Below are 14,853 nucleotides of genomic sequence, written 5' to 3'. Positions count from 1 at the left end.
GCCCCTACTGGGAAGTGAGGAGCCCCTCTGCCCGGCCAGTTGCCCCGTCCAGGAGGGAGGTGGGGGGGTCAGCCCCCCACCCGGCCAGCCGCCCAGTCCGGGAGGGAGGTGGGGGGTCAGCCCCCCGCCCGGCCAGCCGCCCCGTCCGGGAGGGGGGAGGGGGGGTCAGCCCCCTGCCCGGCCAGCCGCCCCGTCCGGGAGGGAGGTGGGGGGATCAGCCCCCCGCCTGGCCAGCCGCCCCGTCCGGGAGGTGAGGGGCGCCTCTGCCCGGCCGCCCCTACTGGGAAGTGAGGATCCCTCTGCCCGGCCAGCCGCCCCGTCCGGGAGGGAGGAGGGGGGTCAGCCCCCCGCCCGGCCAGCCGCCCCGTCCGGAAGGGAGGTGGGGGGATCAGCCCCCCGCCCGGCCAGCCGCCCTGTCCGGGAGGTGAGGGGCGCCTCTGCCCGGCCGCCCCTACTGGGAAGTGAGGAGCGCCTCTGCCCGGCCAGCCGCCCCGTCCGGGAGGGAGGTGGGGGGGTCAGCCCCCCGCCTGGCCAGCCACCCCATCCGGGAGGGAGGTGGGGAGGTCAGCCCCCTGCCCGGCCAGCCGCCCCGTCCGGGAGGGAGGCGGGGGGGGGGGGGTCGGCCAGCCGCCCCGTCCGGGAGGGAGGTGGGGGGGTCAGCCCCCCGTCCGGGAGGTGAGGGGCGCCTCTGCCCGGCCGCCCCTACTGGGAAGTGAGGACCCCTCTGCCCGGCCAGTCGCCCCGTCCGGGAGGGAGGTGGGGGGGTCAGCCCCCCGCCCGGCCAGCCGCCCTATCCAGGAGGTGAGGGGCGCCTCTGCCCGGCCGCCCCTACTGGGAAGTGAGGACCCCTCTGTCTGGCCAGCCGCCCTGTCCGGGAGGGTGGTGGGGGGGTCAGCCCCCCGCCCGGCCAGCCGCCCTATCCAGGAGGTGAGGGGCGCTTCTGCCCGGCCACCCCTACTGGGAAGTGAGGAGCCCCTCTGCCCGGCCACCACCCCGTCTGGGAGGTGTGCCCAGCGGCTCATTGGGGATGGGCCATGATGACAATGGCGGTTTTGTGGAATAGAAAGGCGGGAAGGGTGGGGAAAAAATTGAGAAATCGGATGGTTGCCGGGTCTGTGTAGAAAGAAGTAGATATGGGAGACTTTTCATTTTGTTCTGTACTAAGAAAAATTCTTCTGCCTTGGGATCCTGTTGATCTGTGACCTTAACCCCAACCCTGTGCTCTCTGAAACATGTGCTGTGTCCACTCAGGGTTAAATGGATTAAGGGCGGTGCAAGATGTGCTTTGTTAAACAGATGCTTGAAGGCAGCATGCTCGTTAAGAGTCATCACCACTCCCTAATCTTAAGTACCCAGGGACACAAACACTGCGGAAGGCCGCAGGGTCCTCTGCCTAGGAAAACCAGAGACCTTTGTTCACTTGTTTATCTGCTGACCTTCCCTCCACTATTGTCCTGTGACCCTGCCAAATCCCCCTCTGCGAGAAACACCCAAGAATGATCAATAAAAAAAAAAAATAAAAAATAAAAAATAAAAAAAGAATGAATAAAGACATATCACTACAGACCCTATAGACATTAAAGGGCTAATAAAAGAACATTATGAACAACCCTAAGCCCAAGTATGAGACAACTCCAATCAGATGTGAGCAAATATTTTTGTAATGGGCAAGCAGCAAATATTTAAAATTTGTTGGTCATATGGTCTCTGTCATAACTATTCCACTCTGCCATTATAGTGCAAAGGTAGCCATGGACAATAAGCAAATGAACAGGCATGGCTGTGTTCCAATAAAACTTTATTCATAAAAAGAGGTGGCTGGCCTGTGGGCTTCAGTTTGCTAATGCTTAGCTTTGCGTAGCTTAGATGAAATAGACCAGTTCTTTAGTAGATAAAAACTACCACTTGAGAAAAAACAGGCAATCTGGATATACTACTGTATCTAGTAAAGAAATTGAGTTTGTAGTTAAAGTCCTTCCAAAAAAGAAAACTGAAGGTCCAAGTAATTTCACTGATGAATTGCACCAAGAATTTAAGTAAAAAATAATACCAATTCTACACCATTTCTTCTAGAAAACAGAAGAGAAGGAAATACTTTGCAACTCATTTTGTAAGTCAAGGATTCCTTTGATATCAAAATCAGACAAAGACATTAAAAGTTATACACTGCTGGTAGGAATATAAAATAGTACCAATATTCTCCATGAGCACAGACACAAAACTTCTTAACAAACTGTTACCAAATGGGATCCAGCAATATATAATAAAAAAAAATACACCACAACTACGTGATATGCATTTCAAGAATACAAAGCGGGTTCAACATTCAAAAATCAACCGATATAATCTACCATTTTAACAGACTAAGAAAAGCCATATGACATCTCAACAGACACATAAAAAGTATTTCATAATATTCAATATCCACATATGACTTAAAACAACTTCAGCAAACTAGAAATAGAAAGCAAACTTCCTTAACTAGATAAAGAGGATCTACAAAATTCCTACAGCTAACATCATACTTTAGGGTAAAAGCCTGAATGGTTTCTGTTCAGGTCAAGAATAAGGCAAAGAAGGATGTCTGCTCTCTCATCATTTCTATGTCCTATTCAGCATCACACTGAAAGTCCTAGTGAGGACAATAAAGCAAGGCATACAGATTGAAAAGGATAAAATATATCTCTGTTTGCAGATAACATGATTGTTTATGTTTTTAAAAATCTCAAAGAACTGACCCAAAAAAAGCATCTAGAACTATTAAGTGAGTTTGGCAAGGTCACAGCATACACATAAAAACCAACTATGTTTCTATATACGAGCAATGAACAATTGGAAATAAAAATTTTAAAAATAATACTATTCACAACAGCTGCAAAAATAAAATGCTTGGGTGTAAACATTACTATAACAACGTACATACAGGATAAAATGCTGAAAACTATAAAACATTGATTAAAGAAATCAAAGAAAACCAAAATAAATGGACAGATCATGTCTATGAACTGGAAGGTCAATACTACAAAGATATTAGTTTTTCCAAAGTTGATGTACAGATTCGATGCAATCCCAATTCAAATCCCAGCAAGTCTGCTGTAGAAACTGACAAGATAGTCTTAACATTTATATGGAAAGGCAACATCTATAAAGAACTCTCAAAATTCCACAAGAAAAACAACGTGGTTTTTAAACACGGGTAAATGATTTGAACAAACACTCCATTAAAGATATACAGATGGCAAACAGGCAGATGAAAAGATGCTCAAACTCATAAGTTATTAGGGAATTGAAAATTCATACCATAGTGAGATATCACTACATGACTATTAATTTGACTAGAATGTTTTAAAAACTGACAATAACAAGAGCTAACAAGAATATAGAGCAACAGCATCATGATACGCTGCTGGTGCAAATACAAAATGGCATAGATGCTTTGGAAAACAGTTTAGCAATTTCTGACAAGGTTCAATAAATACTTACATATGACCCAGCAATCCCACTCCTAGCTATTTATTTACCCAAGATAAATGAAAACATATGTTCACATAGAAACCTATAGGCAAATGCTTGTAACAGCTATATTCAAAATCATTAAAACTGGAGGCTGGGCGCGGTGGCTCACGCCTGTAATCCCAGCACTTTGGGAGGCTGAGGTGGGTAGATCACGAGGTCAGGGGTTCAAGACCAGCCTGGCCAGGATGGTGAAACCCCGTCTCTACTAAAAATACAAAAATTAGCCAGGCGTGGTGCTGCACAACTGTAATCCCAGCTACTCAGGAGGCTGAGGCAGAGAATTGCTTGAACCCAGGAGGCAGAGCTTGCAGTAAATCAAGATGACGCCACTGCACTCCAGCCTGGATGACAGAGCAAGATTCTGTCTCAAAAAACAAACAAACAAACTGGAAAGAACCTCAAAGCCCTTCAACTGAGAATGGTGAAACAAACCCTTCACCACCATACAATGGCTTACCATTCAGCAACGAAAAGGAACAGACTGTTGATACATGCAACGACATGGATGAATCTCCAAAGAAATTATGCTAAGAGAAAGAAGCTGTATACTGTTAAGAGTATTACATTCTAGAAAAGGAAAACTATGGCCCTGCACGGTGGCTCACGCCTGTAATCCCAACGCTTTGGGAGGCCGAGGCAGGGGGATCACAAGGTCAGGAGAGCGAGACCATCCTGGCTAACATGGTGAAATCCCATCTCTACTAAAAATACAAAAAAAATTAGCCGGGTGCTGTGGCAGGCGCTTATAGTCCCAGCTACTGGAGAGGCTGAGGCAGGAGAATGGCGTGAACCCGGGAGGTGAAGCTTGCAGTGAGCCAAGATCGCGCCACTGCACTCCGGCCTGAGAAAAAGAGCGAGACTCTGTCTCAAAAAAAAAAAAGAGGAAGGGGAATATCACACTCTGGGGACTGTGGTGGGGTCGGGGGAGGGGGGAGGGATAGCATTGGGAGATATACCTAATGCTAGATGACGAGTTAGTGGGTGCAGCGCACCAGCATGGCACATGTATACATATGTAACTAACCTGCACAATGTGCACGTGTACCCTAAAACTTAAAGTATAATGAAAAAAAAAAAGAAAAAAAAAAAAAAAGAAAAGGAAAACTATAGGCAAAGCGAACTATAGAGAAAGGCTGCCGAGGCTTCGGGCTGGACAGATAGTTGGACTGCAAAGGAGTAACACAGGGGAATCTGGCGAAGTTATGGGAATGTTCTGTATCCGATTGTGGTGGTGGTAATATGATTCTATGCCTGTGTCAGAATTCAGACTGCACACCGTAAGAGTCATTTTTACTGCATATAAATTTAAAAACTTTTTTTAAAAAGAAAGGCTAGGCCAGGTGTGGTGGCTCATGCTGTAATCCCAGCACTTTGGGAGGCCAAGGGGGGTGGATCACCTGAGGTCAGGAGTTCGAGACCAGCCTGGCCAACATGGCGAAACCCCGTCTCTACTAAAAATAAAAAATAAAAAAAAAAAATTAGCCAGGTGTGGTGGTGCACACCTGTAGTCCCAGCTAGTCAGGAGGCTGAGGCAGGAGAATCACTTGAACCCAGGAGGCAGAGGCTGCAGTGAGCCAAGATTATACCACTGCGTTCCAGCCTGGGCGACAGAGTGAGACTTGGTCTCAAAAATAAAATAAAATAAAACACAATAAAATAAAATAAAGGCTATAAACGTATACCAGTAAATACACGGCACTAGCCATGTACCACACATTGTATTAGACACTTCTTATTGAGTGGGGAAAGCGAATAATATCATTTCTTCTTTCAAGCTGCAAGACAGCTTTGACTGAAGCCTATGCTAGCTTCGTACTCTGTAAAACCTACATCAGGGAACCCATGGAACTAAGTTGTTACTAAAACATAATTATCAATAATACAGACTTTGAGGCAAGGCCAAACTACGAGCTGAAATCCTGCCTGCCCCACATACTTCTTGACTTTAGGCCTTATCTGTAAAAAGGAAATAACACTCCTATCTCTATCTCACCATGTCATCTTGCTAATTAAATTCACTAGTGTGAACCCACAGGGCAGTGTGTAGCATCTAGGCTAGAACTGAAGGGACATTATTCTTTTCATCATTGTGGTGGTAAGTGCTCTGTGCTACCTTAGAAATTTTTATTTACTTGATGCACACACTTCCAAATGTGGCCCAAAGGAGACCCACATTGCTACCGAATTTGCATAATAAGTAGTGTGATATTATAAGCAATATATGTGTGTGCAGGGTTAGCAGTGTGCTAGCAATCTATAACGTGTTCCATCACCCTCTTGCCTCATAGTGGAAGCAGCGAGATAAAACAGCTGGTTGCTATGAGCATTCACATTAATGAAATCTCACCACTGCCACGCCGCACTCCAGCTGAAAAGCACTTTCAGATCCATTATGCCATTACCTCATCATAGCAAGTCAGGGAAACTCTGTTCTCTCTAGGGGGGCAGTGACAAATGCCTGTGTGCAGATGGCATCATTCATAATCCTAGTGGTATCCAGCACAGCCCACCGCTGCAGTCAAGCGAACAGAGAGGCATAAATGTTTGAAGTGAACACAGATGAATGTAGAGATACAGCCACATCCATCACTTGCACTTTCCCTACTTTTGAGTTTTGAATTCACTCTAAACACTGGATAATGCACCATCAGTTCAGCAAACACTGATCACATCGTTTTTGATTTCGCTTTTGTTTTAGACAGGGGCTCCCTCTGTCACCCAGAATGGAGTATAGTGGCATGATCACGGCCCACTGAAGCCTCCACCTCCCGGGCTCAAGTGATCCTCCCACCTCAGCCTCCCGAGTAGCTGGGGCTACAGATGCATGCCACCACACCTGGCTCATTTTTTAATTTTTCTTTTTTTGGATTTTTGTAGAGACGTAGTTTCACCATGTTGCCCAGGCTGGTCTCGAACTCCTGGACTCAAGCAATCTGACTGCCTCGGCCTCCAAAGTGCTGGGATTACAGGCATGAATCACCACGCCCGGCCTAATTAAGTACTTTTTATAAAGTCAAAGGCTCTGCCCTCAAGAAGCTCACATATTCATAACAGGCCTTACTTTATAGGCCCACTGCACATTGTATGACTTGACCAACTACAGGTTCAGCACTGAAAGGCTGACAAAGCCCACAGATTTACAACAGTGTTGCTTTGCTCCCCAAAGACCCACACGATTCATTTATGGCCTGTCCAAAGAACTCAAAAGCCTGTCATCATGCCTTCCCCAGGGCTGCCCGCGTCCAGGGTGGCTGTGTCCTCACTCCCCATCCTGACACATCTTGTGGAGCACATTCAGGAAGGCCTCTTGTTGGTCAAGAGGCAGAAAAATAAAAGGCCAGGCAATAAAGCCAGCAAAACACCTGGCTAGGCAGCTGCAGCCAGAAACACTTGATTCAGGGAATATGACAAAGACGGATCCCCTTTCAGAATTTCCTCTTCTGAGCTGGCCTGGGCAGTCAATCCAAACCTCTCCTGCTCGTGAGGGAAAGACAACACCATCCCCACTGTGTTCCTCCAGGTGTGTGCTGTTAATTCGGCTCGGAAAAAGAAAACAACTGAGGCAAAGTCAAACAAAGTATGCTCGCTCCGGTCCATCTATTATGGGAACTGTCAATATTAGCCCCATGTGGTCGGCTTGCTTTCCCTGTTGCAGTCTCAGAACACCCTGAAATCACCTGGACCAGGAACCTTCTTTCCCTCGGAAATAAGCAAACACTCGTACCAGCTTTAGTGAGCTTTTATGAGCACAATCTCTCTTCTCAGCTGAACAAAACACAAAGATTGACCATCCACTGTGCCACACTCCCAGGCTTGATGACAGCTACAAAGGGGCACCTGGAAATCAGAAAACGATGCCCCAGTAGCCACTACGGAGTCTAATTCCTGGAAGCCAAAGTGAAGCCTTATCTATGAAAATAAAGACATGCCACATTTAGTAATGCTTCAGTAATGAGCTCCGAGTCTCCCAACGGGCAGCTGCTGAGGCAGAAGAATCGCTTGAACCCGGGAGGCGAAGGTTGCAGTGAGCCGAGATTGCATCACTGCATTCCAGCCTGGGCGACAGAGCAGGGCTCCATCTCAAAAAAATAATAATAATAAACAGTAAAGCAGGTTTTTGCTGGTGATGGAGACTCCGGGTTTGTCTGAAACCAGTGACAACGTAAGGTAGTGTTTTCTACTGCTTTAACTTCTCCCCAACGAATCAGAATTCCTAAAAGTCCACGTCCTGTGTAAGCACAGCTCCGTTTATTCCAGTACCTCTTTTGGAAGGGGTTTTATAAATGTTTTGATGAGCTGACACGTTTTGATACTTATTTGTGCTCTCATGCTAAAGTCACCAGGCACTGGGCTTTTTATCACCTCTAATATGCTAGGGTATAGCAGAGGTCCCTTTAGCATAATGCCCAGTTACAATTTCCAGCTGCTTTTCCAAACACATCTGGTTTCATTTGCACCTTTCCAACAACTCTATGGGGAACACCAGACAGGTATCTTTACACCCATTGCACAGATGAAGAAACTGAGAGTCCAAACACACTGTGGGTGAACTCGTTCAGCTTCTTCACGGCATGGAGCCAGGGAGCTCCAAGCTCACAGGACGGGTACATACTCCCCACTGCTGGAGATGCCGCTGGCTTGGCGAGAGGTTATACATTCATCGTCATGATCACTGTAGTGGAAAGAAAGTCTCGTGTCTATCCAGGAGAGCCGATCCTTCTGGGCGGCCCATGGGTTCTGCATACTGCAGCACATTTGAATCACCCAAGGGACTGATTTAAAGCAAACAAATAAACAATGTCTGGGCATCACCCAAAGATTCTGATCCAACTGGATTGGAGGAGGACCCAGATATGTGGTTTTTTTGTTTGTTTGTTCGTTTTTTGAGACAGGGTCTCACTCTGCTGCCCAGGCTAGAGTGTGGTGGAGCGATCACCACTCACTACAGCCTCAACATCCTGGGCTCAAGCGATCCTTCTGCCTTAGCCTCCCAGGTAGCTGGGGCCACAAGCATGCACCACCACACCTGACCAATTTGTTTATTTATTATTTTTTTTTGTAGAGACAGGGTCTCTCTGTGTTGCCCAGGCTGGTCTCAAATTGCTGGGCTCAAGAGACTGTCCAGCCTCAGCCTCCCAAAGTGCTGGGATTCCAGGCATAAGCTACTGTGCCTGGCCATGGATATTAATTTTTAAAGTTCCCCAGGAGATTCCAATTTGCTGCCACAGTTGAAAACCTCTGGCCTCCAGCCCTACCAGGTCAGCAGTAACTGAGCTGACTCCCACATCTGCATGGTAATCCATAAAGGCAGAGGAAGACAGACGTTCCATTGCCCAAACCCAGATTCCCCGTCACCCAGAGCATACTAAATTGGGAGCTAGGCAGATACCAATGAAGAAAAATGTGAGCATATTTACAACAAAGCAGGCCACTGAATGCAAACTAAAATTCCGCATCCCGTGTAAGTGCTGCAAGAATGAAAAGTGGAGGTCAAACCACCCTGCTTGAGAATCTGAGTCTTTTGCACAGCCTCCCAGAGCCGAGTCCTTTCCCTCCTCCAGTCTCCGTTTCTTAGCAGAGCAGGGACCGCCTTGAAGAAATGAGAAATCAATTGTGTGTGCTCTGCTGAATTAAGGCTTTTCCAGGCTTGTCGATCTGCATTCATTTGCATGCATTGGCACTGTCTTCCCTACAGAATGAATTCACAGGAATCCAGAAAATGCCACGCTTGTACATTTGTGTCCCCACCACTTCCTGCAGAAGCCGCTCCTGTGATTCATTCAGGAGTGGCCAGAATGAAATCTCCTGTCATTGGTGACTCTTGGGAAGCACTGAATTCGTAGGGGGGTCCCGGAGGTGGCACTGGCAGCAAGACCACAAGTTCCCTTGGCAAAGAGTCTGATTCTGCCTGACTTGCTTGCAGCCACAGTAGTGAAAATACATTCAGTTCTCAGATGTGCTTGTTCGAAGGAGTGTTTGTGTGGTAGGTAAAAGGAAATGATTAAACAAGATCTTTAGACAACTTCGGAACTGGCTTCAAAATGCCCACGTGGCTACACTCTTTTATTATTATTTTTTTTTAGACGGAGTCTTGCTCTGTCACCCAGGCTGGAGTGCAGTGGCACAATCTCAGCTCACTGCAACCTCCGCCTCCTGGGTTCAAGCAATTCTCCTGCCACGGCCTCCCAAGTAACTCGGATTACAGGTATGTGCCACCACGCCCAGCTAATTTTTGTATTTTTTAGTGGAGATGAGTTTTTGCTATGTTGGCCAGGCTGGTCTTGAACTCCTGGTCTCAAATGATCCGCCTGCCTTAGCCTCCCAAAGTGCTGGGATTACAGACGGGAGCAACCCCAAACCCTCTTAAACTGAACAGTGGATATCTTGAGCTAAGGGCCCACAGGGCACATTCATTGATACTGAAGGCTCAGTTTGGTTCTTATCTGCCTACATGATTTCTGTCTGAAAGCCTGACTTTCCTTCCTACAGTAATAAAAGCAGGTAACACCTCAGAATCTTATTTTCAGTGATCCCAGCCCACATAGGAAACAGGCGCCCAGCCTAGGAGGCTGTTTAACTCAGGCCTTCATGTAATTCACCCAGTTCCATGTGGCTACTTTTGAGTCACAATCACCAATGATGTCCTGGGTGAACTGAGAAATTGCTACCATGTATTATGTAGAACGGCAGGACTTTACTAGAGCCTGGTTTCAGACAAGAACCACTTAGAAGTCACATTCTTTTTGAAACAGAGTCTCCTTCTGTCACCTAGACTGGAGTGCAGTGGTGCCCTTATGGCTCACTGCAGCCTCAACCTCCCAGGCTCAATTCATCCTCCCACCTCAGCTTCCTGAGTAGCTGAGATGACAGACATGCACCACCACACCTGGATACTCATTTTGTTTCGTTTTTGTAGAAATGGGGTTTCAGCATGTTTCCCAGGCTGGTCTTGAACTCCTGGGCTCAAGTGATCCATCTGCCTTGGCCTCCCAAAGTGCTTGGGTTACAGGCGTGAGCCACTGAACCCAGCCTAGAAGTCCTAGAAGTCACATTCTAAAACCTCAAGGTTCTGGCAGAAAAGAGTGGCATCACTCCACCTGTGTCCAGACAAGCAAATTCACAGCTAAGAGGAAGCTGGCATTCCAGACCAGCTCGTGGAATGATGAAACACTGGTATGGCCAAACCTGGTCTCTAGTGGCTTTTCAAACAAGAGCTGGGTTCCATGTCACAGAATGGCTGTATTAGAAGCCTGGAGCAGGGTAGAGATCAGACCTCAGCAAAGCCAGGTGACAGCCTCTGCCTGGGGCCCCTTCCCATTGGCGGCTGCTAAAGGGAAAGTCGTGCAATTATCCAGAGGAAGGTTCCCCCCTGACCTCTCTCTCTGGGCACCTACTGCTCTCTCTGCACAAGACAAAATGCAATCAGCTGTGAATGGTCAAGACTCTGTCCCCACATCCCCTCTCCAAGGTGATTTATACCAGCAGAACTCCAGCCCAGTCCTCAGTCCTTCCCAGCGGGGTTCCATCAATGAACAGGACAAACGGAAGCAGAAAAGATTTGGGGAGCAGGACAAAGAATTTTCCAGGAGTGTCCTTGTGGCTTATGAATGTGGTTTCCTTTAATCTTCTTAAAGAGAGTCCGGGAAAGAAGGACACCGCATTTTCATGACTTTCAGCTTAAGTGCAAAAAATAAGTCAAGTGGGTCCCCCAAGCCCTCTCCCTCGGCTTTATCAGGGTTATGTGAACTGCAGAGAGGCCTCAGGATGGGGAGTTTAGTTGGGGAGGGAGAAAGGGAGGAGACCCATGTGTTTGCTTTTTTAAAAAACTGTGATAAAATATATGTCACATAAAATTTACCATTTTTACCATTTTCAGCTGTAGAGTTCAGTGGCACTAGGTACATTCACATTGTTGTCCAACCATCACCGCCGTCCACCTCCAGAATTTTTTCATCTTCCCAATGGGAACTGTGCCCACTGAGCAAGAAGTCCCCATTTCCCTTCCCCCCAGTCCCTGGTAACCACCATTGTCCCTACTGTGAAGTTGTCTATTCTGGGTACCTGAGTAAGTGGAATCATAGGACATTTGTCCTTTTGTGTCTGGCCTGTTTCGCTTAGCGCATTCTCAGGTTTCACCCATGCAGCAGCATGGGTCAGAATTTCCTTTTTTTGTAAGGTTGCATAATATTCCACTGCATGGAGAGACCACATTTTGTTTGCTCTTTCATCCGTCAACGGAAATTTGGGTTGTTTCCACCTTTTGGCCTTCATGAATAGCGATGCATTTACTTCCAGAAAGATTCAGCTGAGGTGCCAAGGACATACATAGCACAGAGCTGGAAAGCAGGATTTCTCCCTGAGAACAGGCAGCATCTGGATTTGGGAATCGTCTTCCTAGAGCTGTTTCTCCAAGTGTCTCGGGATGCTCGTTAAAAACACCAGCATCTCAGTCCTACCCCAGGCCTGTCAAATCAACGCGCCAGGGACAGGACCCAGGACTCTGCATTTCACAAGCTTCCCAGGGCATTCAGAGATCTGGGAACAATGTGGCCTGGAAAGTGTGTAGAGGCTTGGGGAAGAGAGGGATGAGAGAAGAGGGGGTGAATTCTAGAATACAAACCTGAGAAGCAGCCACAGACACAGGAAAGAAGCAAGGATCAAAATTCCCTGCCACTGGAGACAGAAAAAGACAAATGCATTATGCAAGGCAGACGGCAAGGAATTAACACGAGAGAAATAAAAGAATTGGGAACCACAGGAAGGGCCCAGCTGAGAAACAGGGGAGGGACCGGGCTGGTGGTTTTCAAGAAACGCAAACCTCAGGACACCACAAGCCCATCCGCAGTGCCTCTGTGCAATGTGAACAAGCATCCTTTCTTCCGGGCGGCCCTCAGCCAAAAACCTACACAGAGGCACACAGTTGCTGGGCCTAAATCAATCTACTAGATCACCCACTCGCCCTCTGTCATTCCTGAAAAAGGAAAAATAGGATTTCCTGATATTACAGGGAAATTATTCTAGCAGAAGAAACCAGGAGGTGAAATTCCCCTTAGACACAACGTACTCCCCCATCTGATTAACAGAAATTAAAAACAAAAAGGGTGCTTCCCTGCTGCTGGCCAGTTCCCTGTTTCTAAGGACAGAATCCTCTAAGCAACAACCTATAGCCTGCAGGCACCATCCAAGCTTATATAAGAAACCTACTGCCACTAGGTCCCAGACTTCAAGAGCTCTTTTAGCCTCTTTGTGTTTCTCCACTCCGTGTATTAGCTTGTGAGATACATTTTGCACATGATCCTGGGAATAAAGAGTCACAGGTAAACAAGGCTGCAAGAAAAGTCCAGGTGGTGTTCACACAGTAGCTGCAAACTTCTCAGAACTTTTCAGAAATTCATCCTTGCCTGTCATTACATTTTTTAATGAGCCACTCAGCATTCCAACGAACAACCCAATACATCATTTCCTCTATTAATTGGTGCAGTTAATTTGAAAACTGTTCTCAGTTCTATATTTATATGGGAAATATTAAGAGTCCATCTCCTTGCTCCTTTTTCATTAATTCCACACACATTCATGGAGCATCACGCTAGGAACTAAGGACATGATGTGACCCGAGGTTGGCAGGTCCTACCCTCGGGCTCGGGGGCACCAAGGGCTAGGTGGGCATGAAAGAGCCCAGGCCGGGCGCGGTGGCTCACGCCTGTAATCCCAGCACTTTGGGAGGCTGAGGCGGGCGGATCACGAGGTCAGGAGACCGAGACCATCCCGGGTAGCACGGTGAAACCCCGTCTCTACTACAAATACAAAAAACTAGCCGGGCGTGGTGGCGGACGCCTGTAGTCCCAGCTACTCGTGAGGCTGAGGCAGGAGAATGGCGTGAACCCGGGAGGCGGAGACTGCAGTGAGCTGAGATCGTGCCACTGCACTTCAGAGTCTGGGCGACAGAACGAGACTCCCCGTCTCAAAAAAAAAAGAAAGAGAGAAAGAGAGAGCCCAGATCTTCCCTTTATTCCTTTATGGTGTGTAGAGAAACTTACATTTCCCTACAATGGTCTAATTCATTATCTTTTCTTTTTGAGACAGAGTCTCACTGTGTTGCTCAGGCTGGAGTGCAATGAGGCAATCTCAGCTCACTGCAACCTCCGTCTCCCAGGTTCAAGCAATTCTCCAGCCTCAGCCTCCTGAGTAGCTGGAATTACAGGCACATGGCACCCCACTCGGCTAGTTTTTGTGTTTTTAGTAGAGACGGGGGTTTCGCCATGTTGGCCAGGCTGGTCTCGAACTCCTGGCCTCAAGTGATCCTCCCACCTCAGCCTCCCAAAGTGCTGGGATTACAGGCATGAGCCACTATGCCCAGCCTCATCCATTATCTTCTCTGATCCTCACAGCAACCTCAGGAAACAAGCTGAACAGGCATCATACACCATTACATGGACGGGAAAATAAAGGCTCAGGAAGTTAACGGACTTGCCATCTTCACACATCTAGGACATGGTGGAGCCTGGAATCAACCTACATTCTCCTTCCGTCTTATCTATGACTCTCATTCAAAAGAATGAATTCTAAATGGTAGATTTCCATTGACATGTGATGTGCGGAGGACTGGAACAAGGGAGGAGGAGGAGGAGGAGGAGGAAGATGACAGCTGTCTGAAAATCATTGGTTTATTAAATCAGCCCTCCTTGGCTTCTTTAGCATCTGGTACACGCTAGAGCATCAAGTCCTGGCCCTAATAAAGACCAAACAGCAATAAAGCCACAAAGAAGAGATCTGACTGCTCTGAGAAGCGTAATTAAATTCTCAGAAAACAGATTCGAGTGCTGGACCATTTGCTTTCAATATTATGTATTCTTTGTTGTGAAAATATGCCAGACAAGCAAGCAATAAAGGAGAGACACTGCTTTTGATGAGCACAATCTAAGCTCATTGTGTAGACCAAGCAAGGAGCCGGATGGACCAACAGCCCAGGAAAGAACCCTCCAGAAAGGAGAGCCTGGGCTCTGAGTGAGAAGCAGCACTGACACTGGTCACATTAGGAGGCTTTTGATCTTCCTTTGAGAGGCTTTCTACACCCGTTTTACTGCCTTTAAAATTATAGTGCAGGCCTAATAGTCTCTATATTCCTATCCAACACTGAGTTTTGCAGAGGAATTTTCACTTCCTTGGCATCCTTGAGAGAAAAGAGGTCAACAAGCTCCTCTACCTACAAACAAGTGCAATTCTTGAAGACTCCCAGGAGCCATCTGTTCTTAACACACATGGCCAACGTGGCCTCCAAGTTTCACTTTGCTCCTCTACAACCGCACGCCTCTTTTCTCTTAGACTGCTCACACGGAC

At 47.3% G+C, this 14,853-nt stretch overlaps 1 protein-coding gene across 7 annotated transcripts in view, besides 1 other annotated feature; it reads right to left on the bottom strand.

Annotated features, from left to right (window-relative positions):
- CAMK1D (calcium/calmodulin dependent protein kinase ID) overlaps positions 1 to 14,853 on the bottom strand; it is a 485,999-nt gene that overhangs the window by 315,534 nt on the left and 155,612 nt on the right. The window lies entirely within an intron of this gene.
- Positions 10,512 to 10,561: an enhancer, noted in NCBI's record as "active region_3045". NCBI's record gives its function as "activates an Ori minimal core promoter by ATAC-STARR-seq in GM12878 lymphoblastoid cells {active_cell/tissue: GM12878}" and the evidence as "EXISTENCE:reporter gene assay evidence [ECO:0000049][PMID:35858748]".

This window comes from Homo sapiens, chromosome 10 (assembly GCF_000001405.40).
Source record: "Homo sapiens chromosome 10, GRCh38.p14 Primary Assembly".
Taxonomy (NCBI): domain Eukaryota; kingdom Metazoa; phylum Chordata; class Mammalia; order Primates; family Hominidae; genus Homo; species Homo sapiens.
Note: the sequence above shows the minus strand (reverse complement) of the source record. Positions and strands in the feature narration are given on the sequence as shown.